This window comes from Homo sapiens, chromosome 15 (genome assembly GCF_000001405.40).
Source record: "Homo sapiens chromosome 15, GRCh38.p14 Primary Assembly".
Lineage (NCBI taxonomy): Eukaryota > Metazoa > Chordata > Mammalia > Primates > Hominidae > Homo > Homo sapiens.
In genome coordinates, this window is record NC_000015.10 from 99,418,147 (window position 1) to 99,443,382 (window position 25,236).

Here is a 25,236-nt window from a genome sequence, read left to right on the forward strand (position 1 = left end):
TGAGCATTTTTTCATGTGTCTATTGGCTGCATAAATGTCTTCTTTTGAGAAGTGTCTGTTCATATACTTCACCCACTTTTTGATGGGGTTGTTTGATTTTTTCTTGTAAATTTGTTTAAGTTCTTTGTAGATTCTGAATATTAGCCCGTTGTCAGATGGGTAGATTGTAAAAATTTTCTCCCACTCTGTAGGTTGCCTGTTCACTCTGATGGTAGTTTCTTTTGCTGGGCAGAAGCTCTTTAGTTTAATTAGATCCCATTTGTCAATTTTGGCTTTTGTTGCCGTTGCTTTTGGTGTTTTAGTCATGAAGTCCTTGCCCATGCCTATGTCCTGAATGGTATTGTCTAGGTTTTCTTCTAGGGTTTTTATGGTTTTAGGTCTAACATTTGAGTCTTTAATCCATCTTGAATTAATTTTTGTATAAGATGTAAGGAAGGGATCCAGTTCCAGCTTTCTACATATGGCTAGCCAGTTTTCCCAGCACCATTTATTAAATAGGGAATCCTTTCCCCATTTCTTGTTTTTGTCAGGTTTGTCAAAGATCAGATGGCTGTAGATGTGTGGTATTATTTCTGAGGGCTCTGTTCTGTTCCATTGGTCTATAGCTCTGTTTTGGTACCAGTACCATACTGTTTTGGTTACTGTAGCCTTGTAGTATAGTTTGAAGTCAGGTAGCATGATGCCTCCAGCTTTGTTCTTTTGGCTTAGGATTGTCTTGGCAATGCAGGCCCTTTTTTGGTTCCATATGAACTTTAAAGTAGTTTTTTCCAATTCTGTGAAGAAAGTCATTGGTAGCTTGATGGGAATGGCATTGAATCTATAAATTACCTTGGGCAGTATGGCCATTTTCATGATATTGATTCTTCCTATCCATGAGCATGGAATGCTCTTCCATTTGTTTGTGTCCTCTTTGATTTCGTTGAGCCATGGTTTATAGTTCTCCTTGAAGAAGTCCTTCACATCCCTTGTAAATTGGATTCCTAGGTGTTTTATTCTCTTTGAAGCAATTGTGAATGGGAGTTCACTCATGATTTGGCTGTTTGTCTGTTTTTGGTGTATAGGAATGCTTGTGATTTTTGCACATTGATTTTGTATCCTGAGACTTTGCTGAAGTCGCTTATCAGCTTAAGGAGATTTTGGGCTAAGACGATGGGGTTTTCTAAATATACAATCATGTCATCTGCAAACAGGGACAATTTGACTTCCTCTTTTCCTAGTTCAATACCCTTTATTTCTTTCTCCTGCCTGATTGCCCTGGCCAGAACTTCCAACACTATGTTGAATAAGAGTGGTGAGAGAGGGCATCCCTGTCTTGTGCCAGTTTTCAAAGGGAATGCTTCCAGTTTTTGCCTATTCAGTATGATATTGGCTGTGGGTTTGTCATAAATAGCTCTTATTATTTTGAGATACATCCCATCAATACCTAGTTTATTGAGAGTTTTTAGCATGAAGGGCTGTTGACTTTTGTTGAAGGCCTTTTCTGCATCTATTGAGATAATCATGTGGTTTTTGTCTTTGGTTCTGTTTATATGATGGATTACATTTATTGATTTGCATATGTTGAACCAGCCTTGCCTCCCAGGGATGAAGCCAACTTGATTGTGGTGGATAAGCTTTTTGATGGGTAAGCTTTTTGATGTGCTGCTGGATTCGATTTGCCAGTATTTTATTGAGGATTTTTGCCTCAATGTTCTTCAGGGATATTGGTCTAAAATTCTCTTTTTTTGTTGTGTCTCTGTCAGGCTTTGGTATCAGGATGATGCTGGCCTCATAAAATGAGTTAGGGAGGATTCCCTTTTTCTATTGATTGGAATAGTTTCAGAAGGAATGGTACCAGCTCCTCCTTGTACCTCTGGTAGAATTCTGCTGTGAATCCGTCTGGTCCTGGACTCTTTTTGGTTGGTAGGCTATTAATTATTGCCTCAATTTCAGAGCCTGTTATTGGTCTATTCAGGGATTCAACTTCTTTCTGGTTTAGTCTTGGGAGGGCGTATGAGTCCAGGAATTTATCCATTTCTTCTAGATTTCCTAGTTTATTTGCGTAGAGGTGTTTGTAGTATTCTCTGATGGTAGTTTGTATTTCTGTGGGATCGGTGGTGATATCCCCTTTATCATTTTTTATTGCGTCCATTTGATTCTTCTCTCTTTTCTTCTTTATTAGTCTTGCTAGTGGTCTATCAATTTTGTTGATCCTTTCAAAAAACCAGCTCCTGGATTCATTGATTTTTTGAAGGGTTTTTTGTGTCTCTATCTCCTTCAGTTCTGATCTGATCTTAGTTATTTCTTGCCTTCTGCTAGCTTTTGAATGTGTTTGCTCTTGCTTCTCTAGTTCTTTTAATTGTGATGTTATGGTGTCAATTTTAGATCTTTCCTGCTTTCTCTTGTGGGCATTTAATGCTATACATTTCCCTCTACACACTGCTTTAAATGTGTCCCAGAGATTCTGGTATGTTGTGTCTTGGTTCCCATTGGTTTCAAAGAACATCTTTATTTCTGCCTTCATTTCGTTATGTACCCAGTAGTCATTCAGGAGCATATTTTTCAGTTTCCATGTAGTTGAGCAGTTTTAAGTGAGTTTCTTAATCTTGAGTCCTAGTTTGATTGCACTGTGGTCTGAGAGACAGTTTGTTATAATTTCTCTTCTTTTACATTTGCTGAGGAATGCTTTACTTCCAACTATGTGGTCAATTTAGGAATAAGTGTGATGTGGTGCTGAGAAGAATGTATATTCTGTTGATTTGGGGTGGAGAGTTCTGTAGATGTCTATTAGGTCCGCTTGGTGCAGAGCTGAGTTCAATATGCTGGTTAACTTTCTGTCTTGTTGATCTATCTAATGTTGACAGTAGGGTGTTAAAGTCTCCCGTTATTATTGTGTGGGAGTCTAAGTCTCTTTGTAGGTCTCTAAGGGTATGAATTTGGGTGCTCCTGTATTGGGTGCATATATATTTAGGATAGTTAGCTCTTCTTGTTGAATTGGGGATTGCTGGGAGAACCACTAATCTCTTCAAAGCTGTCAGACAGGGATGTTTAAGTCTGCAGAAGTTTCTGCTGCCTTTTGTTCAGCTATGCCCTGCCCCCAGAGGTGGAGTCTACAGAGGTCGGCAGGCCTCTTTGAGCTGCGGTGGGCTCCACCCAGTTTGAGCTTCCCGGCAGCTTTGTTTACCTACTCAAGCCTCAGCAATGGCAGATGCCATTGCTCAAGGCCACACAGCTGCGAGTGGAGCCCACTGCCTCTGCTCCTCCACTGCTCCACACTGCCCTGCAAAAAGGAGGAGGCCAGTCTCGTTTCTTGGGGAAGGTGGGGGCTTAAGACCCCAGGGCCGAGTTGCTCCACTGTTTGGGAGCATTTGCTTCAATCTGGGAATTCAATCATCTGGGAATTATTTAAAAGAGGTGTAGAGGCCTTGAAAAATCTCAGCTTGGGTTGACTGGGGGAGGGAGAGGGACAGTGTCCTGTGTTTTCCATTTTCTTTTTTTTTTTTTTGAACTTTTATTTTAGGTTCAAGGGTACATATGTAGATTTGTTATATAGATAAACTGTGTGTCACGGGAGGTTGCTGTAAAGACTGCTTTGTCACTCAGGTGATAAGCACAGTTCAGACAGGTAGTTTTTCTGCTCCTTTCCCTCCTCCCACTCTCCACTCTCAAGGAGGCCCCAGTGTGTGTTGTTCCCCTCTTGGTGTGTCCATGTGTTATCATTTAGCTCCCATTTATAAGTGAGAACATACATGTGGTATTTGGGTCTCCTGCATTACTCTGCTAAGGATAATGGGCTCCAGTTCCATCCACATTCCCACAAAGGACATGATCTCATTCTTTTTTATGGCTGCATAGTATTCCCTGGTGTATATGTAACACATTTTCTTTATCCAGTCTACTGTTGATGGGCATTTAGGTTGGTTCCATATCTTTGCTATTGTGAATAGTGCTGCAATTAACGTATGTGTTCATGTGTCTTTATGATAGAACAATTTATATTCTTTGGGGTATATACCCAGAAATAGGATTGCTGGGTTGAATGGTAGTTCTGTTCTTTGAGGAATCACCACACTGCTTTCCACAATGGCTGAGATAATTTATACTCCCATGAACAGTGTATAAGTGTTTCCTATTCTCCACAACCTCACCAGGGTTTGTTTTTTTTTTTTTGTCTTTTAAATAATAGTCATTCTGCAGGCTGGGCACAGTGGCTTACACCTGTAATCCCAGCACTTTGGGAGGCTGAGGTGGATCACGAGGCCAGGAGTTCAAGAGCAGGCTGGCCAACGTGGTGAAACCCCGTCTCTACTAAAAATACAAAAATTAGCCAGGCGTGGTGGTGGGCGCCTGTAATCCCAGCTACTTGGGAGGCTGAGGCAGGAGAATCCCTTGAAACTGGAAGGCAGAGGTTGCAGTGAGTGGAGATTGCGCTGCTGCACTCCAGTCCAGGCAAAAGAGCGAAACTCAGTCTCAAAAAAAAAAAAAAAAAAAATAGGCATTTTGATTGGTGTGCAATGGTATCTCATTGTGGTTTTGATTTGCATTTCTCTAATGCTTAGTGATATTCAGCATTTTTTCATATGCTTTTTGGCCGCATGTATGTCTTCTTTTGAGAAGTGTCTGTTTATGTCTTTTGCCCACTTCTGAATGGGGTTGTTTTTTGCTTGTACATTTGTTTAAGTTCCTTATAGATGCTGGATATTAGATCTTTGTCAGATGCATAGTTTGCAAATATCTTCTCCTACTCTTAGGTTGTCTGTTTATTCTGTTGATTTGCTGTGCAGAAGTGCTTTAGTTTTATTAGATTCCATTTGTCAATTTTTGTTTTTGTTGCAATTGCTTTGGCATCTTTATCATGAAATATTTCCAAGTTCTATGTCCAGAATGGTATTTACTAAGGTGTCTTCCAGGGTGTTTATAGTTTTAGATTTTCCCTTTAAGTCTTTACTTCATCTAGAGTTGATTTTTGTATATGGTGTAAGGTAGGGGTCCAGTTTCAATTTTCTGCATATGGCTAGCCAGCTATCCCAGCACCATTTATTGAAAGGAAGTCCTTTCCCCATTGCTTGTTTTTGTCAGCTTTGTTGAAGATCAGATGGTTGTAGGTGTTCAGCCTTATTTCTGGGCTCTCTATTCTGTTCCATTGTGTCCTGTATTTTCAGTGAGGGAGACAAGACGCTGAGCTTACACAGCCCCACTCCCTCCAGAGCTACACGCCAGGGACCCCTGCCCAGACCTGCCTGGAATGGCTGCTCCTGTGTTGGCCTCCAGCTCAGCCGTGCATGGATACAGGAAGACCAATAGCCAGAGGCTGAAGGGCCATAGGAAGGATGCTGGGGCAGCATCAGCTCCGTGGAGGGGCCCATGGACCACTCTTACATTTAAATCCATCTGCCAGTCAGGAACAAGTTCACTTCCATAACACAACTTTATTGTGTTTACACAGTTAAACACAGCCCATGTGTTCACTGTAGACACAGAACTGCTGTGAAAGGACTGCCCGTTTCTAGGCTTTTCCATGAAGATTAATATGCCACTTGTTTGTTCCCTGTGTCCGTCTGCTAGCATTGGCCAGTCAGCGGCGGGTTAAGAACTCACCAGGGAGAAACTTAAATTGGAGAAAAAAAAATTCTAGTAGATACTGTCTGGCTACTCACCCAGCTTCCACCACCTTTTCTGCTGTCTCAAGAACCCAGATATTTTTTGTCGTGGTCCCCCCAGTCCTCTCTCGTTAGAGGCCCCAGGAAGAGCCCTCAAAGGCGGAGCTCTCCAGACACTGTCATGAGCAAATGCGAGCCCAGGACAGCCGTGGCCACCCGGCAACACACCTTGTGGAGGGAAGTGTGCACCACTCAGGGGGACTGAGGGACCAGAGCAGGTGCCATGGGAGATGCCCACCCTGCAGCCCCTGGCCTCCGCTTAAACCGGTTTGAGCTGGACTTCCTATTACCTGCAGCTGAAGCATTTTGACTGCTACAGTTCTACTCATCTTCTTGTCTCTCTTACGCTGGTCAAACGCAAGTTAACATGGGTTCCAGCTGGATGCCGAGTTGAACTCTGCGTTTGCACTCCTGCTGCACCCGCCGTGGCACACTCAGCCAGGGGCCTGTGCTGCTTCTCTCTGCCTGGAAGGGGCATGGCTACATGTGGGATCCCCCTCAAGCAGACTGCAATGAGGACTTGGGTGCATGAAGTGATCCGAGGAAGGGCAGGGCAGGGGTGGAGGTGGAGGGGGAGGCAGGGGAGGGAGACAGGTCCATGAATGAGGGGTTTCCACTGCGGGCAATGGGCTCAACCCACTGGGCCCTCAGGGAGACTGTGGGACACAGGCCTCCAATGTCCCCACTGGAGAGGGCGGAGGTGAGCATTTCTACAGACTCCCATCCCCATGGATGAAGGGGCCCTGGGGCACAGACTCCCCTGGCATAGCCGACCTGTGCTTGCAAGTGGGAGGGATATTCCCAAGGTGGCAGGGAAGAAAAGAATAATCGAGAAGCAGGCTAGTAGGTATCTCCTGTCCTGCAGGAGAGCTGGGTGGCTGGGGCTCTGGATGGGACATCACAGCCTCTGCTTAATCACGGAAGCCTCAATTTTCTTATCTGTGAAATGAGGCTAATGTTTGGGGTACATACCTGGCAGGGCCAATGTGACAAGAAGCAATAATAAATGTACTTCCTGGCATACAGCAGGGGCTCTGTAAGTGCTGATCCTGTCAGTGGCAGCTCCTTAAGGAAAGCAGCTGCCTCAGTTATGGTGCCAAATGCTGTGTGCCAGGCTCTGCTCTCCCTCTGCCACCTCTACCCCACCTCTTCCTCCTGAATCTATGAGTGGCCCGGGGCTCCAGGCAAATTAGGCTTTAGCACCCCGAGCTGGCCCACTGGCCTAGAGGCCAGGCCACTGTCCTGAGGTGTCCTGACAAAGGCTGTGGGGGCCACATGAGGCAGCCAGGCCAGGCAGGTGCCCCTGCTTGGTGTCTGCAGCCCGGGCCCAGGTTGATCTGCAGGGTCACTGCCAGCTGCCGGTGCCCACAGACCGCGCCACTTGGCCCTCTGACCTGAGCAACCGCCTGCTGCCTTCCATGGGAGGCCTAGCCGCCTGACCTTTCCTTCCCAAAGTCATTTTCCGTTCTGCTGTGTTATTGGCCAGGCCTGAAACGCTCCTCTGAGGGAGTGGGAAGGACCGTTCTGAGGCTTGTCATTGTTTCAGGATCAGGTTGCCTCAGCCTCAAAATCTGACAGAAACCAGAACTTCCTCTGAGTCACCCACACCCATGACAGGGGCCTCGGGTGGAGGGTGAGGCTGGGGTGGGGGGCGGGGGCTCTCTCAGCCCGTCTGGGCCTAGAAGGCCTCAGCGGTGCCCTCCCCCTGGCAGCCCAGCTCCAATTTTGCAGCTCTGGCCAAGCACCAAGCTGGCATGAGGGTCTGGACCTCAGCCTGAGCCCTGCGCAGCCTGAGCCAACTTAGAGGGCAAGGTGGGAAGGAGGTGGCCCCTCTCAGACAGGAGAATGCAACTGCTCCTGCCACGGAGCCAGGGGAAGGAGGCTTTGGGGTTTGGGATGAATGCTGCCAAAGGCCGCAGGAAGCCCCTTCACATCTTCCTGAAGGCGGATGAGGGAACCCCAGGACCCAGCACTCACTTCCTAAGTCTCCAGCCCCATATCCAAGACGGGGCCGGGGCGTGAGGACCCCTGCACAGCTCACCACTCGGGCCCTCTCTAAACAGCCTCCTGGACATCTGTGTCCCCTGTGTCCTTTGAGGAGGAAGGAAGCCGCTCCCTGGAAGAAGTTGGCTCTGGCCTCAGACATGCATCTCCTGTCAACAAATGAAAGCCCCGCCACTCATCAGCTCCGCTGTCGGTTGGGAACCTGCAACCGCCTCTGGCTCTCCGTCTGTACAGCCGGGGGTCCTGGCCCCATCCCCGCCTCAGGCTAGCTGGCTGTGGATTCCATGCCAAGACACACCGCCCAGACACATCTCCAGCCAGCAGGAGGCTACGGTGCCACGTTCAGGCTCTGCCAGTGCTTCTAGGTCCTCCGAATGTCCTCAGGTGGAGAGCCTGGGCCACTCCTCCTATGTGCTCCTTGTTCTTCCACCTCAGAGTGGCCAAAGGAGGGGCTCTGGTTCCCAGCCCTGGGCCCCAGGAGGAGGGCCTGTCTGTCCCTTTCCTGCCGCTCAGCCTTTCCCATAGTGCAGCCTTTGAGGACCTCAGCTGAATCCCACCTGCCTGCCCTCCACGGGCCACAGCCCTTCCTCACGGTCACCTGCATTAAGCACCTACTGTATACCCAGGGCTGTGTCCCATGAAAACAGAGCAGATGTAAGAGCCAGGTCTTTGGTCACGGCGCCAGCATCTGAAAAGCATTTGCAGTTTGAGAAACATTTGACCCTCATGGTCACTTCCAGGTGCGCAGAGTCCAGGAACTGTCCCGTTTTCCAGATGAGGAAATGGATGCTTTTGAGAGTCACGTCACATGCACGGAGCACAGGTGTGCCCGAGGCCGCGCCCCGCAGCAGAGCTGGGATTAGAATCTAGCTGTTTTGGAGCCATCGTCTTTTCCGTGATGTTCTGAGGGGCCTCTCTGTTTCTTTTGAGGAGTTTCATGCTGATTATTGAGACAAGGTGGTTCAGGCAAGACCGCTCTCGAGCATGGACGCAGGCACGTAAAAGTTCATGCACAATCACACCACAGGCATTCCAGAGCACCTCAGACGGGAGGGGCCTGCGGGAGGGTAAAGTCAGAGGGCCTGGGCGGGCGGCAGATGCAGTGATGAGGAGAGAGCATCCCGGGGAGCTACTCTGGGGATCGGCGTGGGAGGCTGGACGAAGCAGCGTGGACGGAGCACAGATGTGGTCACAGGCCACACCCTGCAGCAGGTCAGGCTGGGCTGGTGTTAGAGTCAAGAATGGGAGGCTTGGGACTGTGGTCTGTGCTGCAGGGTGATGGTATCACAGCAGGTTTTGACCTGGGAGGTGACTCCCTGAATGCATTCAGTCTGGAGTAGCCTGGGAAGTGGCGAAGGGAAAGGGTCTCCAATGAGAGTAACTGCTGTTGCCCAGCTGGCAGGTGAAGAGGGCCTGGAAATTGGATTTTAAAACTTAGAGTCAACCCGATGATTCAGTAACAAGTGGGGCACATCTGGCTTGTAATAATAATAACCCCTTCTGCACTGCAAAGGTCTCTATGCACCACGCACTGTTTTCTCCTCTTGTGCCTACGGGAAAGACGTTACCATCTTTCATGGCAGCTCATCACCTTCAGCAACCTCTGGAAGGACCCCACAAGCCCTCGCCTTGCACTGAGGGTGGCCCCACACCTGTCTGCCTAGGCTATTTGGGGGTCTCTGCACCCAGACCTCTCCCCGGATGGAGTTTGGCAGGTGGTCAGTTTTGCTGCGTGAATTGTAAGTGAAGAGTCTTTTAGCAACCACCTCCCCACTCTCTGCAGCCTCAACCTCACTGTTCTGTGCCCCTCCCGTCTTTCCTGCCTTGTACTATTTGGACTCCTTTCTCTAATCAAAATCTGCTCCCTGGAAGAATCAAAGAGCAGCCACTTATTTTCCTTAGGGCCAACATCTTCACTTGGTCATCATTCTACTGTAAGCTGGTGAATATAGCACCTGACATAGAGTAGGTGCTCAGTAAACTAGAAGGAAAGGAAAATGTGTTTTGAACGACTGGGTGGACGCATGGGTAGACGCGTGGGTGGACGCGTGGGTGGACGCGTGGGTGGACGCGTGGGTGGATGCATGGATGTCCATGTGAAGAGGCTCTCTTATGCAGAAAAGCTACTGAAAATGGATCGGATTAGATAAAAGTGGGAAGAAGGCTCTATCAGATGCTTCGCCTCTCTTACTGCCTGGGCATTACTCTTCGGGCTCTCACTTTCTTGCAAGTGGCAAGAAATAAAGCTGATGAGTATGTGAGGGGATGGGCAACCCGACTAGAGTGCTTCCGGTCACAGGCAGTAACATGCATGCAGTGTGAGCAGAGGTGGTCCAGTTCAGGCTGAGACACGGTGCAGCAATCCAGGGGGACCCGGGAATGCTGCAGGACCACGCCTCAGCGTCACTTGCAGGGTCCCAGATCCCTCCGATGGAATGGGAGTCAACACATCCCTGATCTAGCTGGTGACACCAGCCGTCCTTTACCTCCTGAGGCTCCACTTTATTCCTCTGATGAGGGACTATACTGATGCAAGATGGTTTCCAGGACCTCTTTGCCCCTTCGCTGACCCTTAGGTCTCATGGGTTATAATGGCAAAGGTGCTGGGACCCCGGGTTCTCTCCAGAGCTGTAAGCCATCTCCAAAGGAAAGCTGCAAGGAACATCTGTCCATCTATCTATACGTATATATATATATAGATAGATAGTTAGGCTGCGCGTGGTGGTGCATGCCTGTAATCCCAGCACTTTGGGAGGCCGAGGTGGGCAGATCACCTGAGGTCAGGAGTTCGAGGCCAGCCTGGCCAACATGGCGAAACCCCCTCTGTACTAAAAAAAAACCACAAAAGTTGGCCGGGTGCAGTGGTGTGCACATCTATCTATATATATACATACATATAGTTTGAAGTCTTTGGAGACCCTTGCTGTATGTGTGTATATACATGTGTGTATAGATATGGTCACATAACATATGTATATATCATATATGTACACATATATAATTTATACGTATACTTTTTTTTTAATAAGAAAATGTGTGAGTCACTGGGGTCTGAGTCCTTGTTCAAAAGATCAAAAGCAGACATGTGGTCTGCATGCCCATGCTCACTGCAGCACTATTCGAAAGTTACGGAATCAACCTAATCATCCAACAACGGTTGAATGGATAAAGTATGGTGTATACACACAGTGGTATACTATTCAGCTGTAAAAAAGAAAGAAGTTCTGTCATTTGTGACAAGATAGATGGAATTGGAGGACATTATGCTGAGTGAAATAAGCCAGGCACAGAAAGACAAATACCGCAGGTTCTCACTTGTATGTGGGATGGAAAACAATCAAACTTAAAGAGGCAGAGAGCAGAATGGTGCCAGAGGCTGTGGGAGAGCTGGTGAGGGGAGTGAGGAGATGACAGTCAAAGGGCACAGGGTCTCAGTTAGGCAGGAGCAATATATGTTTTGTTTTTGTTTTTAGGAAATGGGGTCTCGCTGTGTTGCGCGGGCTGGTCTCAATCTCCTGGGCTCAAAGGATCCTCCTGCGCTTGTCCTCCTGTAAGGCTGGGATTACAGGTGTGCACCATAAGTTTTCTTTTCTTTGAGATACATTGCACAGTGTGGTAAATATGTAAGTAATAATGTATTGTACATTCCAAAATCACCAGGAGAGTAAATTTCAAATGTCCTTACCACAACAAGTGATGAGTATGTGAGGGGATGGATATGTTAATTACTTGATTTAATTTTCTACGTTGTATTCATCAGTCATCACATCACTTTGTACCCATAAATACATACAACTGTAATTTATCAATTTAGAATTTTAAAAGTAAAATTTAAATGTAAAAAAGTGGACATCTCACATAGGAAGCTCTCAGGGGTGGCCCAGCCTCAGGATCTGGGCAGGCCTGGCCCTGAGCTCTGTGACATGTGATCTGCCTGCCATGTGGCTTTGGTGGGGACAGGAGGGGGAAGCAGGGGAGGAGGGGTCCTGCTTGGGTGTGGTCTGGTGCCTGAGAACTGGGCAGACCCATGGTGGGCCCCTGTGTGACTGCCTTCCTGGCCAGCCCCCAGGTGTTTGGGTGGCCAACGGACTACTCCTAGCCAGGGAGCACAGGTGACTTGTGACACTTCCCAGCAAGAGCTTCTGAATGCTGGTGTGAGAACGTCCACAGGGCTCCTTCCCTCTGAAATGGAAGCTGACAGTCTAAGATGGTGGCTTCCTGTCAACCCAGTCCTGGATAGATGACCACGATCAGTCTCCTGCCAACCACGACGGATGCTTACTGTGGGCAAGAAAGAAGCTTCTGTTGCTATCAGCCACAAAGACTTGGGGCTTGTGACCATTGCACCACCTAACCTATCCTGGCAGGGTCGAGGCCCAAATATTCCCAAAAATCCCAGAAAAACCACCTTATTTTTCTTCTTCCCATGTGCTGGCCCTCAGGTTCTTGGTGGCTGATCTGGGTTTCCTGGCCAAGCTTTTCAGCAACACTGCTGATGACCTGACGTGTTCCAGCACCTCCCCTGCTCCTCCCGCAGCCCCCCAGCCACTCACTCTGGGGGATCGCTGCAGATGCAATGTTTCTTGATAGGAGGGATGGTATGACTCCAAGCCAGGCTGAGGAATTGCAGTGAATGGGGGCCTCCAGGAAAGGCCTCCCCTGGAAGTGAGCCCCAGTTGGCATAAAAAGCTGTTTTCACCGGGTGCAGTGGCTCACACCTGTAATCCCAGCACTTTGGGAGGCTGAGGCGGGCGGATCACCTGAGGCCAGGAGTTCGAGACCAGCCTCAACATGGAGAAACCCTGTCTCTACTAAAGCTACAAAAGTAGCCGGGTGTGGTGGTGCATGCCTGTAATCCCAGCTACTCGGGAGGCTGAGGCAGGAGAATTGCTTGAACCTGAGAGGCAGAGGTTGTGGTGAGCTGAGATGGCGCCATTGCACTCCCGCCTGGGCAGCAGGAGCGAAACTCCATTTCAAAAAATAAATACATAAATATAAACAAAAATTTTAAAAGATAAAAAGTTGTTTTCACACTTGCCTTATGTTCTGCTGAGAGCTGATGTTCTCCTCTGGATGTGAAGCAGCCAGGGAGAAATCTCTCTCCCGGGAACGCAGTGTTAAGCAGGGAGCTGAGAGGTGCACGCATAACCTTGGCAGGCTCGGCTCTGCCTCCTGGGCGTCTGCAGCCCACGTGCATGCCTGGCACACCCAGCGTGGACGCACCCTAAGTGGCCCTGGGGCAGAGCGGACCACAAAACGCACAGCCTTCAGCTCCGGCAGTGGCAGGTTCAATGGGGAGGTGGTTTTTAAAAACCTCCTGCTTATCGATTTCTGCGTGGTGAGGGAAACTTCAGCCGGCCTTTCCGTGGAGAGAAGCTGAAAACCGACCCTGCTTTGTCCGCATCTATTTCCTGCCGGCTCTCAGCAGCGTGACCAGCTACCTCTGCTGGTGGCGTGACCTTGGGTGTGTCACCTCACTGCCGGCTCTCAGTTGCTCCCTCATCCCTGTCATCACCAACATTTCCTGGAGCCCACCATGGGCCACACATGGACTCCACGTCTCACATGAAGTTGCTCTTTAAATGCCCACAGAACCACCCTGGGTAGGTACAACTCTCCTCCATTCCCATTTTTCCAGACGAGGCGATTGGCACACAAAGAGGTTAGGAAATGTAACGGAGGTCACCCAGGGGTGGCGTCGGATGAGAGAGAGCTCAGCCCAGTGCCCACCTCTGGGGACTGACCACCCAGACGTGTATTGCCAAGACCCACTCCCCTTCTGATTGGAGTCACTTTTTCCTCCGTGCGCTGCCCGTGCCCACTTGCCCTGGCGTCTATGAACACATCGTTCCCTTCTCTTCCCCATGGGGACAGCACAAGGATGCTGGTGGCTGGCTGTGCCCCCAGCCATGTGAAGACCTGATAGGCCGGCCTCCCTGCGGGGTTCAGGACCTGGCCTGCCGTTGGGCCTGTCACAAGAGAAGCCATGGCTGGTGAGGAGGGTCACTGGCCCGCCTGAGCGAGGCACGGGGACCAGCCTGAGGCAGCAGCGGAAGGCAGGGCTGGCCTTTTCTCCAGTGGTCATCCCTGCACCCCACAGAGAACCTTGGTACCAACATGACCCCGCGTGGCAGCCCCCGGAGGTGTGGTGAGCAACCACCAGGGCCAGAACCCCAGCTGGTGCGGGGAGACAGGCTGCCGCCCCTCCAGAGGCCTAGATCAAGCAAAGGTGACATACCAGGGAGGAGTCAGGCCCCTACGGGAGAGGTTGGGAGGGTCTCTGATCTAGAGAGCACAAGCAGGAGGAGCAGGCATGGGGCCTTGCCCAGCTCTCGGCAGTCCTTCTCTGTTGCCCATATGGGGTAATGTCGAGACCCAACCAAAGATTCCAGCAACATCAGTTTGACCTGGGGTAAGGGGTTCTTCATTCCAGACCCTCAGGGTCTCTTCCTTTGGAATGGAATGGGGATGTAGTGGGGAGGGTGCCCTGTCAGGGGGTGCTGCTGAGCACAGGGTAAAGATGTGCAGGTGTCTGGCCTGCATCTTTCATCAGCCCCCACAGCAGGAAGGAGACCCACAGCGGGATCCTGATGGGGGACACGCCCACACCCGTCCTTCAAGGCTGGCCCTGATGGCGAGCTCACAGCTCCTCCCAAGTCCTGTCTGAGCCCTGTCATGTCCATCCAGGTCCTCCAGTGAGCAGACCCCAAGCCAGGAGGAGAGGGGCAAGAGATCCGTTGGGGGAAGCACCTGTGGCAGATGGGGAGACAGCCTCGAGCCAGGATGCAGGTCTGAACCTGGGACAGGGAGAGAGGGAAGGGGGATTGGGTAGGAGGACGTGCGTACCCAGGGAAGCCCTGAGAAAGCCGTGCTGCTAGGCTGATGAGAAGCCCCAGAGAGAGGCCTGCATACAGGGCAGTTGGTGGGTCAGGAATGGCCTGGTTCTAGGGACTAGTGCCTGCACCGTATCCAGTCACTGGCTGGAGTGGCTGGGGAAGGAGCGGTCTCTGTGTGAGCAGTGACTCCCGTTGGGGCAGCAGTGGGCAGCTGAGCCTTTTTGGGGCAGCAGTGGGCAGCTGAGCCTTGCTCCAGCATGTTCTTTGAGGAGATCCCATAATTCCCATTGGTTTCTGGGGCCCCCTTTCCCCAGAGGCCCCCAGACCTCCTAGCCCCCCACGCCCTCTGCCTGTGGACCCCTCACCCGAGCGGACTGCCATCCCCTCTGGTCCTGTCTGGCAGGCAGCTCCTGCTGCCGGGCCTGGGACCCACCTGCCAGGTGCTCCTTCTGCCCTCCAGCTGCCCAGAGAGGGGCACCCAGAAGCATGTGCAGCCTTGGTTCACAGGGAGTCCTGTGTGGGGCAGAAATGGCCCCCTGTGGGTGAGCTGGGACAGGAAAAGGCCGTGGAGATGAGGAAGGGACCCTGAAGACAGACCTGGCCTCGGCCACACTCATGCTTGGAGCTGGCTTGAGCCCTGTGGGGTGGGGTCAGATGGAGCCCAGATGCTGGCTGGAGGGTCCAGGTGAGCATGTGCCAGGCACAGGGGCAGCCTGGCCGGTTCTCAAGGGACCACGGGCAGCCGGACATAGCTGTCCCCGCCACAGCTGGGCCCAGCTTTTGAGAACAGTGACAGGAAACAGAGGCCTGGATGGGCAGGGCCCTCACTGGACACAGGCCTACCTCCTGGGAAGGAGGCCTGCGTTTGAGAAATCCCCTCGGCCTGGGAGGGTGGAGAGACAACACCCTGCGTGGGTGTTCGGCCTTCGGCAGCACCACGCCCTCCCACCCCCAGAGCTATTTCTGCAGCTTCCTGGCTTGGTTCCTCTTGCCCCACCCCCACCTCTGTCCCAGGTGAGACCTGCTGGGAGCAGAGGCCCTGGAGCCACATTGGGGCAGGGCCTGGGGAAGGGGGACACCCCCTGTGGAACAGCACGGACAAGGGGCCATTGCCAAGTCACAGCCAGGTTTAACCCCTAGGATTCCAGTTAAAATGGAAAATTTGGACTCAATCTGCCTCTCCCCGCTGAGCAGAACCTGGGGGGGCTCCAGCCTGTGGGCTCTGGGGGTTTCTTGGTAACTTCTCCTACGGCAGGGATGCCACAGAGCTTCGAGGGCAGATGCCACGTGTGGCTGCTCCTGTTGGCTGGAGGGGACAGGAACCTGTGACAGTGTCCTCTTTCTTCCCCAAGAGCAGAGCCGAGGACCAGGAGGTGCCACAACACCAAGGGGACAGGCCCCGCAGAACGCTGTGGGGAGGAAGACATGACGCGACAGCCTCAAAGCACCCGGCAGAGCTCTCGCCTCCTTCCCTGTGATTGCCAGTGTCCAGATGCGCAGTCGGTCAGCCCTGGGACTGCCCGAGTGTTGCCTGCACTCGGCAGCCGTGACCCAGAGCTCAGCTACGCAGCACAGGAAAAACAGGGCTGTCGTGGAGGAATTTGTGTTCTCATCACACATTCAGAAATTAATTTTTTTTAAGAACTTATACTTTTGGGCTCTTATAAACAATCCGTCTTCTAAAAGTCCGCCTGGGACAGGCTGGATAGCCTCATGGCCACCTATTTAAGTAAACTCCCCATCTCCATCATCACCCAGGCTCCTCTCTGCTCCTGCTTCCTTTTTTCTCCTAGCTTGCATTGTCAGTAACACAGTCCGGATTTGACTTATTTACCTTGTTGTCGTCTCTTCCTACCCTGACTCCCAGTAGAACAGAAGCTCGAGGAGGCGTGATGTTGCCTGTTGTTTACTCTGTATCCTCAGAACTTGAACTGTGCCTGACATGCCATAGGCACTCGATAAATGTTTCTGGAATGAACAAAAAGGATGCTTTCTTCAGAACACGGTGACGCTTTCCCAGCAGGGCTGGAAGGGCGGACGCTGGCATCCCCGTCGCTCCTAGAAGCCCCCCTGACAGGGTCTGCCCTGGGCTAGAAGCCGGTGCACCTCCCTTTCGGGTCCTTACCACAACCTGGGACATCTTGAGACTGGACCCCTAGATTGGTGGCAGGACCTGCTCCGAGCTGCCCAGCGAGACCTGGGCAAGCCGCCCCCACCAGCCCGGGGCTCCCGACCTCCTCTGTGCTCGTCCCTGCGCCCTCACGCCTCACCTGGGAGCTGATGAGACACACAAAAGCTCCAGCCCCACCCCGGACCTGCAGGGACCAGGGGATGCATTTGAACCAGGGATCCAGGTCAAACAAGTGCACATTGCAGTTTCCCATGCAATGCCCTGCCCACAAACGCCCCCTTCTCCCAAGCAAAGTGGAGGGCTTTGCTGAAGCCATCTCGATTCTTCCTCCCTGCAGCTACTAAAACACGCAGCGCTGGCAGCTGAGGGGCGCGGGCCTTAGCATTACCGCAGAAACTGTGAAGGGCAAACCTGGTAATTAGCCGGGGAGAGTGGGGAGGTGAGGCAGGCACAATGGGAAGGCGGGGAACGGCAGCTGTAATTGCAGGGTGTGCCAGCCCTGGGGACGCGCAGGGGGAGGGCATTAAGACGTGGAGGCAACCACCTATGTGTGAGCTCCCGTCGGGTGGGGGCCCACAGGGGCCGGCAAGGGAGGAGCGGGGTGACAGGATGCGAGGGAGATGTGAGTCCAGCCACCTCGAGCCTGAACGCAGCCTGCCCAGGTGTGCAGGCGGAGCCTCCCTCACTGTCCCCACCCTCGCTGGGTGACACCCAAGGGACGCTGCCCCAGGCTTCTTGGCCACTGGAGGGTGAGGCTTCCTGGAAGCTGTTTCCCTGTTTGCTGCATCTGAATTGGATCCAGAGAGTTCTAAGTCGTCAGAGTGAATTTCACACTGAGGCTCCCTGGCACCCTGGGGCTTCATGGCAGGGTGTGGAGGCAGCTTGCAGGGCAAAGAGGAGGCCAACCTGGTGGGCTTCCTGCCCCTGGCCTGACCCCTCCATCCCACACACCCTGACTTCAGCCAGGCAGCGCTGCTTCTGTTTTATATTGAAATTTCTGAATGAGATTTCATTTCAGGAATGAGGTCTCGTTACTTTAAAAAAGAGAGCAAGAAAGGAATTGATTCATCTGCTGTCTCATTTTATAGATGAGGAGGGAAGCAGCGTGCCCAGAGATACTTGGGTAAGAAGAGGCAAGTTCCGTTCTCCTTCTACTTCCTGGCTCCAGAGAAGGAAATGGCACATTTAGGGAGGACTCTGTCTCCTTGGGCAGATTCCCAGATTCCAGGGCATTTTTATTGTCCTAGAAAAATGATGCGGAAGCTGAGAATCAGGATACTTCGCTCCCTAGAAGACACACAGAGGTTTGAGAGGGAGCTGGGCTTGGCACCCAGGTTTGTGGGGAGCATTGGACCATTTGGAGTCCAGGGTGACATCACCCCACCCCTGCCAGCCCCTTCTGCTCTATCCTCAGCTCCGCTTTGTCCACTGCCAATCAGTCATTGCAGGGACAGGCGTCGTGCAGGGGGTGGAGCCCCCAGCAGCCCCAATGCTGCCCTCCTTGGCCCCAGAGTCCAGCAAGACTGGGCACAAAAGCATATTTGATTTCACCCATGGGAGGGCTTCAAAGGAAAGGGAAACCAGTTGGGGCCAGAAAGGGCTGAAACCTCCTGAGAGCTGCCACTCCCTCCTGCCCCCTGCCCCTGGGACCCCTACACCATCTCAAGCCCGTGAGATCTGATCCTCCCCTCATGTTCCATGATGAGACCCACTGCATCCCAGGCGCCTCCCCCGAACCCTCAGCCACCAGGCATGCTGACTTCTTTCACTCCCCCTCCCCGGCCAGGGCAGGTGCCCCCCGACCCTCCACAGAGGACCCAGTTCTGCCTGCAGAGAGATTCTCCTGCGCAAGCCCCACATTCGCTCTCCTGCGCCCGTGGGGGGCCCTGACAGCCCCTCTGTGGGGTGTGGACCTGGGTAGGAGGAGCCCCTGATGCTAATCTGAGTGTGACCTCGAGGTGACGGAACTTTTCTGGTTCTCCCTTTCCTCACACGTAAAACCAGAAGACGGTGCTGGAAGAAAGGTGACCCCCAGCCTGACTTCTGTGACCCCTGCTGTCCAGGGTTCCATCAGCATTTCTCAGCGACCGGACATTGCTGCACTGGATGCGGGGGAGTGGGGTGGGGCGCTGTGCCTAGTGACCCATGGGCCAGGGCCATGTCCCACGGCCACCTTTGTAGATGTTGCCAAGTCATATGCCAAGTGGGGACACTGCCCTGGGGTTGGCTCAGCATCCCTCCTCCCCTCTGTCCAGCACCCTTGCCTCTGGGGACTGTCTTCTGCCCCCCATGTACTTCTGGGGGTCTGCCAGGCCCAGCTGCCCCCGGCCTCATGCAGCGTGGGCGCATATGAAGAGAGCCCTTCCCTCCCTGGCACTAGGCTGAGAGGGTTGGCTCTGGAAGTCAAATGGAATGTCCCTTACTCCTGGGAAAGCTTGTCCAACACCGGAGAGTAAGGTCCACAGGCAAGCAAGGGTGGTGCTAAGTGAGAGACAGAGCACAGCCCCTCCACGATGGCGCGTCCCTGGGCCTCTGTAGCCTGCACTGGCTCTTGGCAGGGGCACTCTGGCCCTCCTTGCTGTCCGTGACCCAGCTCTCCCTGCCCGACCTCTCCCTGTATCCCTCCTCTCTGTGTCTGCCCAGGATGACTGACTGCCTGGTAGGGAGAGCAGCAGCTGTTGGCTTTTCCCATGTTCCCTACCTGGAGCATTCAGCACCACACCAGGGATCAGGCTGCAGTGTAGCCTGGGCATCAGGCAGCCAGGGCAAGAACCGAGGCTGGGGGAGAGGAGTCTGTCTGGGGTGCAGAGCTGGTGAGGAAAGCGGCTCCAACCCTATCTGGGGAGGCCGCCTGCTCCAGCCTGGGAGGATTGGGGCCCAGCACACTGGGGGTCTCAGCCCTCCAGGGACCCAGGACCCAGGACCCAGGGAGGGAGATGAGGTCAGCGCTGAGCAAAGGCCCGTAACACGAGGCAGGAGGATGTCGGCACCCGAGAGACCTGACAGCCACTGGTGACTCAGGGGGATTGGCTGGGCTGCCTGCAGGTTCCCCTGGGCACTCTCGCCCCTGTGGACCCCCTTCTGATCCCTGGTTCCTGGGCTATGCTGTGCTCCTGCGGGCCCCTCGGCAGGGCTTCCCTATTCCCTCCAGCTTTCTGTTTCCATGCAGAAAGTTCCCGAAGCCTGGACCAGGAGGGCTCAGCGCCAGGCTGAAGGAAACAAGGCAAGGGCCACACCAGCCTGTCCGCCCTTCCCGGGTTTTAAAGTCTGGTGCCTGGAGAAACATCAACCTTTGACTTTAGCCACGTGCGATTGCTTTTCCGCCGGAATAATTAGCAGTATCCAACCCTGAAGCCTAGACACTTTTTCCTGAATCATCCTGGGCCTCAGGACAGCTGGAAGGGCCGAGTGGCTCACACAGCCTTTCATGCCGCCCTCCTGCTGGTCCACATGGGGACTGAAGTCACACTGGCCAAGTGGGCTGGATGACAATATTTTATTTTAAGACCCAGATTTCCAGCCAGCTACCCCAGCTGTGTTATGACCCTCTCTGTTCACACAGGTTGAAAGGGAGATGGCAGGCAGCATCCTGTTTTGGGGGTGGGGAGAGGGCAGCGGCACCACCCTTTCCCTGGACTCCCCTATTCCCTGACACCAGCATGAAAGCAGACCCCTCATTATCCCCCGGCCAGGGCAGCCCAAGACCCAGCGTCACCGGGCCCAGGCGGTGGGTCCTCCGGCCAGGACGGGGGTCGGGGGAGGCTCCTGTCTCCCAATACCCCCACTGGCTTCCGAGAAGGTGCAAATAACGAGCGAAAGGAGGGAAGGGGGGAGGCACCCAAAATAAAGGCCTCTGAGGATGAAAGCCCGAACCCAGTCTTTCCACGGAAAAAAGGACTTCCATTTGTTCTTGGGTAGAGTTTAAAGAAGAACAGAGTATTGTCATCACGAAACGGTTTCATTTCAAGCCTTGACTTTGGGGGGTTTGTTCTGGTTTTGTACTTTCTCTCCTCCCTGTGGCTGCCGCACATGAAAGGCTGGGGTCAGGCCCCGCACGGGGGTGGGAAGCAGGGCTGTGCGTTTTGCTTTCATTTCCCCGAGAACAGCAGGAAGCTCATTCCACCTGGAGATGTCTGGCTGTCTCCTTCCGGCCAGTCCCAGACTTTGCTGAGAATAATTCCTTCTTGAAAAAAAAACATAACAATTCCCATTAAATGTTTCAAATTGCCCACACCAAACTCAAAGCTCAGAGTGAGGGCTTTGAAGGCTTTTCACGGAACAAAAATAAAACCTTCGCAGCCTTGGAGAGATGTGGCTGAAATAACCCCCGGGTATGTGAAATGAGCCTGAGGTATGTGAGTGGCCAAACAGCAGCCCTGGTACCCGAGGAGGGAAAGGTTTGATGAACAAACGGAAGAAATGAGGATCGTGGCTGGAAGAGGCGCTGCTCCCAGGGGTTTCACAGATTTTTGTGATTTGATCCAACGTTGGGTGATTAGCTCCACTAATGAGGGAAACAGATAATCCCAAACAATGACTAATCCGTCCAGTGACCTATCCCCCTCCGGCCTTCCATCAAGATGGCTGGGGAGAAGGGGACCAGCCCAGGCAGAAACCCTCGCCGAGGTCTTTGAGGTCGTTCTGAGCTCAGTCTAAACGCAGCCATACTCAGATTCAATTAACGCACTTAGTAAACATTTATTGAGCACCTACTATATGCCAGGCATTGTTCTAAGTGCTGGAGACACAGCAGTCGACAGAATGACAAAGATCCCTGGACATCTCGGCTGCGTGGTCCTACAAACCCAGAAGGAGCATGTGACGGTTCTCCGGGGCCACCTTCTCCAGCTGGACCAAGCACATAAATCATCTGGGGCCTTGTGAGGAGCAGCCTCTGATCAGGGTCTGAGGAGGGGCCTGGGGCTCTGCATTTCTGACAAACTCCCGGGCGGTGTCATGGCTGCTGGCCCAGCTGCCTGAGTTCCATCCCAGCTCCGTCACCCACTATGTCAGCGTGGGCAAGCTTTTTAAATGCATTCGCCTCCATTTTCTCATCTACAAAATAGAGCTTCAAATAGAGCCCACCTCACAGAAATGTAGTAGGGATATACATTTTCTTTTTTTTTCTTTTTTTTTTTGCCTAAGCCCGCTTGCACTGGGTTTTCCATCCCTCACAGGGTCTGTGGATGCATCTTTGTATCTTGCTCTTGCTCTGAATTTCCCCGTCTTTCCTGCCAAGCCACCACATACCCTTGATTCAAAAGGCTCCTTTCAGACCTGAGAGGGTGGAAGGGTGCACAGCTTTCTCCTCAAACTTTGCCACTTGGGGTGGCTGAGCATGGAGACAGGAGTGAAGGGCTTCTCCATAGAGCTGCGGCTGGAGAATCTCATCCTGCACAGCCTTTTAGCAGCGGGGGGACTGAGCGGACTGCAGTCCCCATATCACCCGGGGACCACGGAGATCATCTGGAAAGATGGACTAGCCAAGAGTTACTCAGCACTCTGGATCTGCGGTCAGACTCCCCAGGTGCGACTCTTGGCTCCTCCGCTCAAGACCTGGGTGACCTTAGGCAAGGGACTTAACCTCCCTACTCCTCTTCCTGTCCAGTAAGGTGGACAGGTCAAGGTGGTCCCGACTTCTAGACTTGGTTGTTCCTCCATTTCTCTGCTTTCTTGTGATCCAATTTGGAAGCAGGCCCACAACGAACATGGTGGGGAGGCATCTGTTCCAGGCAGGTGGCATTTTACCTTGGGGCTTCACACTCCCCAGTGGGTGAGTTAGTGGTTTAGATGCCACTAGTGGTGGTCACACTGATAGGTCATGGAGACTGACGCCAACCTGGGTTCCAGCAAGGGGTTCGAATGTCTTAATGACATTCCAAAGCTCTTCCAAAGCTGAAAGACTGAAAATGAACCTGACACTGTGAGACCCACAGGGCAGGGCAGGGAACATGCCCAGTGAAGCCCGAACCCCTTCATCTGGGTGGTGACCAGCCTGAGCACTTGAGTGTGAGTCAGGCTCAGGCAGCCGCGGCGGCAACTCACAGCCTTCGGCAACCCCTGCCACCCACCACACCTTCCTGGTGTAAGCAGGAGGCCTTGGTCTCAGGGAGAATCTCATCTACCACCTACTGGGTGGATAACTATAAAGCGACTAGGCAATTTGCTTAAGCCCGCTGGGTCTCAGGTGTTTCATGTATAACATGAGAACATTGGAATCATGGTTTCTAAGGATGCTTGGCTTCATGCCAGGTGGGACGACAGCGACTCCAGCAGAACAACGGTCTGCAGTGTCACTGTAGCGGGGTGGGGGGGCTCACCCAGTACATCCCCACCCGGAACCTGTGTGGAGGCTTCCTCCTCTACAGCAACGCCATGCAATATATGGGACATACTTTACAAACAATCATTGTTTATCTGATATTCGGTTTTAACTGAGTGTCTTCCACTTTATCTGTCAACCCTACCCCCTGACTCCATGCTCCACTTTGCTCTCCCACCCAAAGCCTCCCAGCCTCCCTGAAGTCTGGCTCACCTTGCGGCCTGCCCCAGCTCCGATGCCCCTCCTCAGTTGGGGGAAGAGGATGTTCCGTCTCCTGTCTATACTAAGTACAAACTACGTTTATCTCCAGCTTCTTTTTTGATTTGCAAAAGGCTATCTTGGATTTTGTTGTTGTTAAGCACAGTGCCTGTTTTTTGCTTTTTTTTCATTCCCACAATCACTTTCCTTCTCCTGAAAGCAATGTGGGTGTGAGGACTTTGGGAAAGGAAGAGCTCAAGGATGGATCCTTCGAGACGCTGTCTCTAAGCGCAGGGAGCCGAGGAGGCTGCCACTACTGGGGCAGAGGGTGGGGAACGGAATCCCTCTGGGAACTCAAGGGTGTGGACGAGGTTTAACTGTTCTAAGGGCATCTTGTTTGGAGCCCAGCTGTATGCATTGATGAGGCCCATTTAAATATTTTAAATAATTAGTAAATTCCTTTTTGCAATAGGAAATGCTTGTATTTTTTTTTTAACTCAAATGGCACAAAATGGCATTGAGTGAAGCCTCATTCTTTCCCATCCCCAAGCTTTTTCTCTACTCCCTGAAGACCAACTTGACGACAGAGGCAAATTGTGCACTCTGGGACATATTCGTCCCTTTTGGTTGGGTGTGTTTTGGGCACAGGCAGTAGCTGTGCAATGTGCACGGTTCGGCATCCTGCTTCCCCCTCACTCTCCTATGCTGGAGAGCATTGTAAACCCACCCCATCTGCAGTTGCCTTTAGGTGGGTCACCACATGCAGTGGGGGATGTAGTCTCAGCACCTGTGCTGGGGCTCAGAGAAAGGACCTGGCACCAGACATCCATGAAACACTTGGATAGCCCCTGGGAATGCCACCCTCCTCCTGGAACAGTTGGTCCAGATTGCTGATTAATGTTTACCAGAACAATTTAAAACTCAACTTTGCATTCAAAAGAGAGCCCAATGCTATACCAGAGGCAAAGCTTTGTGATCGCATCTGAGCTTTGTTGACGTGCTTAGAGCTGTTTGTACACACTTTTAATTGGTATATATACACCGACTTTTGTTTTGCTCCCTTTAATGCCACTGCTCATAAACACTTCCCTGTACTAACATAAGATCATATCTTTTTGATTTGCAATGGAAAAACTGTGTCACTATTTTTTCCACCACTCAAGCATCTATGGACTTGATCTTTTTGCCAGAGTTCTCTGGCTGGCGTTTGAATACAAAAAAGAATGTGAGCTATGTCATCTGAAAACTGCTGATTAACTCTTAAAATTTCTCAGCTCTCATTTGCTCCACATGTAAAGATTAAAAGCAATAATAGTCATGTGATTGCCTTCTTCTGCTTCAGAACACTCCACCCCCACCCCATCTTCTCCACACATGCCATTCCTTGCAGGCTTCTGGCAGTGGAAAGGATTAGTCAACTATGTCAAAGGCCAGGAGCCAAACATCACGCCCCGCGCTAGCCAGGAAAACCCTCCCCTCCCAAGCCGTGCCCTCTCCCTGCCAGCCCCAACACCCCAGGCACCTGGTACAAAATCATTGAGCCGAGAGTGGGTGCTTCGGTGGCTAACTCTCCCCTTCGCAGCATTCACGGAAATACTCACGGGACCACGCTGGAAAAGAGCATACGGGGTTTCCCCTTGAAGGGTGATGAGGCTGAGTCTCCTTAAAGACAGGATTGCCATTGCAAATGTTACGGCAAAGATGAATTTTGAGCTCGGTGCAGACATAGGTAACCAAAGACGTGATATCACCACATGTACTGGTGTTGGAGAGCAGTCACCCAATCAGAAAACATGACAATGGATGGGCTGGTGCTGGACCCTGGAGCCCACTTCAGGGTGGGGTGAAGCTGTTAACCTTCGAGATGCTGGGTCCCCTGGGGGCTCTGGAGAAAGGCTAGGTCAGCCAACCATGGGGGCACAGCAGTGGGTACTGGGCCATAGTCTGGAAAGATGGCAGGGTCCTCATAACCAGCGCAGCCATCACTGGGAGTACTGGCTAAACACTAGCGCCTGGAGTGAGGGAAGTGCGGGGCTCCCGTGGGTGGCTCCACCTTCTTTCCATGCACCTGCCCTGAGGCTGCCCTCAGCAATCCTTATATCCTGC

At 52.1% G+C, this 25,236-nt stretch overlaps 1 long non-coding RNA gene across 1 annotated transcript, besides 6 other annotated features; it reads right to left on the reverse strand.

The window, feature by feature from the left end:
- Positions 7,203-7,262: a silencer, noted in NCBI's record as "silent region_6867". NCBI's record gives its function as "represses an Ori minimal core promoter by ATAC-STARR-seq in GM12878 lymphoblastoid cells {active_cell/tissue: GM12878}" and the evidence as "EXISTENCE:reporter gene assay evidence [ECO:0000049][PMID:35858748]".
- On the reverse strand, positions 11,361-17,065 carry LINC03080 (long intergenic non-protein coding RNA 3080). Its single transcript, XR_007064775.1, has 2 exons — positions 17,022-17,065; positions 11,361-16,447 (listed from the first exon to the last, which is right to left on the reverse strand). It is a non-coding gene; the product is annotated as a long intergenic non-protein coding RNA 3080 (long non-coding RNA).
- Positions 15,029-16,228: an enhancer, noted in NCBI's record as "MED14-independent group 3 enhancer chr15:99973380-99974579 (GRCh37/hg19 assembly coordinates)". NCBI's record gives its function as "activates an origin of replication core promoter dependent on BRD2, BRD4, P300/CBP and CDK7 cofactors, and independent of MED14, by STARR-seq in HCT116 cells {active_cell/tissue: HCT116}" and the evidence as "EXISTENCE:reporter gene assay evidence [ECO:0000049][PMID:35650434]".
- Positions 15,210-15,259: an enhancer, noted in NCBI's record as "active region_10152". NCBI's record gives its function as "activates an Ori minimal core promoter by ATAC-STARR-seq in GM12878 lymphoblastoid cells {active_cell/tissue: GM12878}" and the evidence as "EXISTENCE:reporter gene assay evidence [ECO:0000049][PMID:35858748]".
- Positions 15,270-15,469: an enhancer, noted in NCBI's record as "active region_10153". NCBI's record gives its function as "activates an Ori minimal core promoter by ATAC-STARR-seq in GM12878 lymphoblastoid cells {active_cell/tissue: GM12878}" and the evidence as "EXISTENCE:reporter gene assay evidence [ECO:0000049][PMID:35858748]".
- Positions 18,911-19,580: an enhancer, noted in NCBI's record as "H3K4me1 hESC enhancer chr15:99977262-99977931 (GRCh37/hg19 assembly coordinates)". NCBI's record gives its function as "activates a minimal SCP1, AML or CMV promoter by ChIP-STARR-seq in primed H9 embryonic stem cells {active_cell/tissue: H9 hESC(primed)}" and the evidence as "EXISTENCE:reporter gene assay evidence [ECO:0000049][PMID:30033119]".
- Positions 20,252-20,920: an enhancer, noted in NCBI's record as "H3K4me1 hESC enhancer chr15:99978603-99979271 (GRCh37/hg19 assembly coordinates)". NCBI's record gives its function as "activates a minimal SCP1, AML or CMV promoter by ChIP-STARR-seq in naive H9 embryonic stem cells {active_cell/tissue: H9 hESC(naive)}" and the evidence as "EXISTENCE:reporter gene assay evidence [ECO:0000049][PMID:30033119]".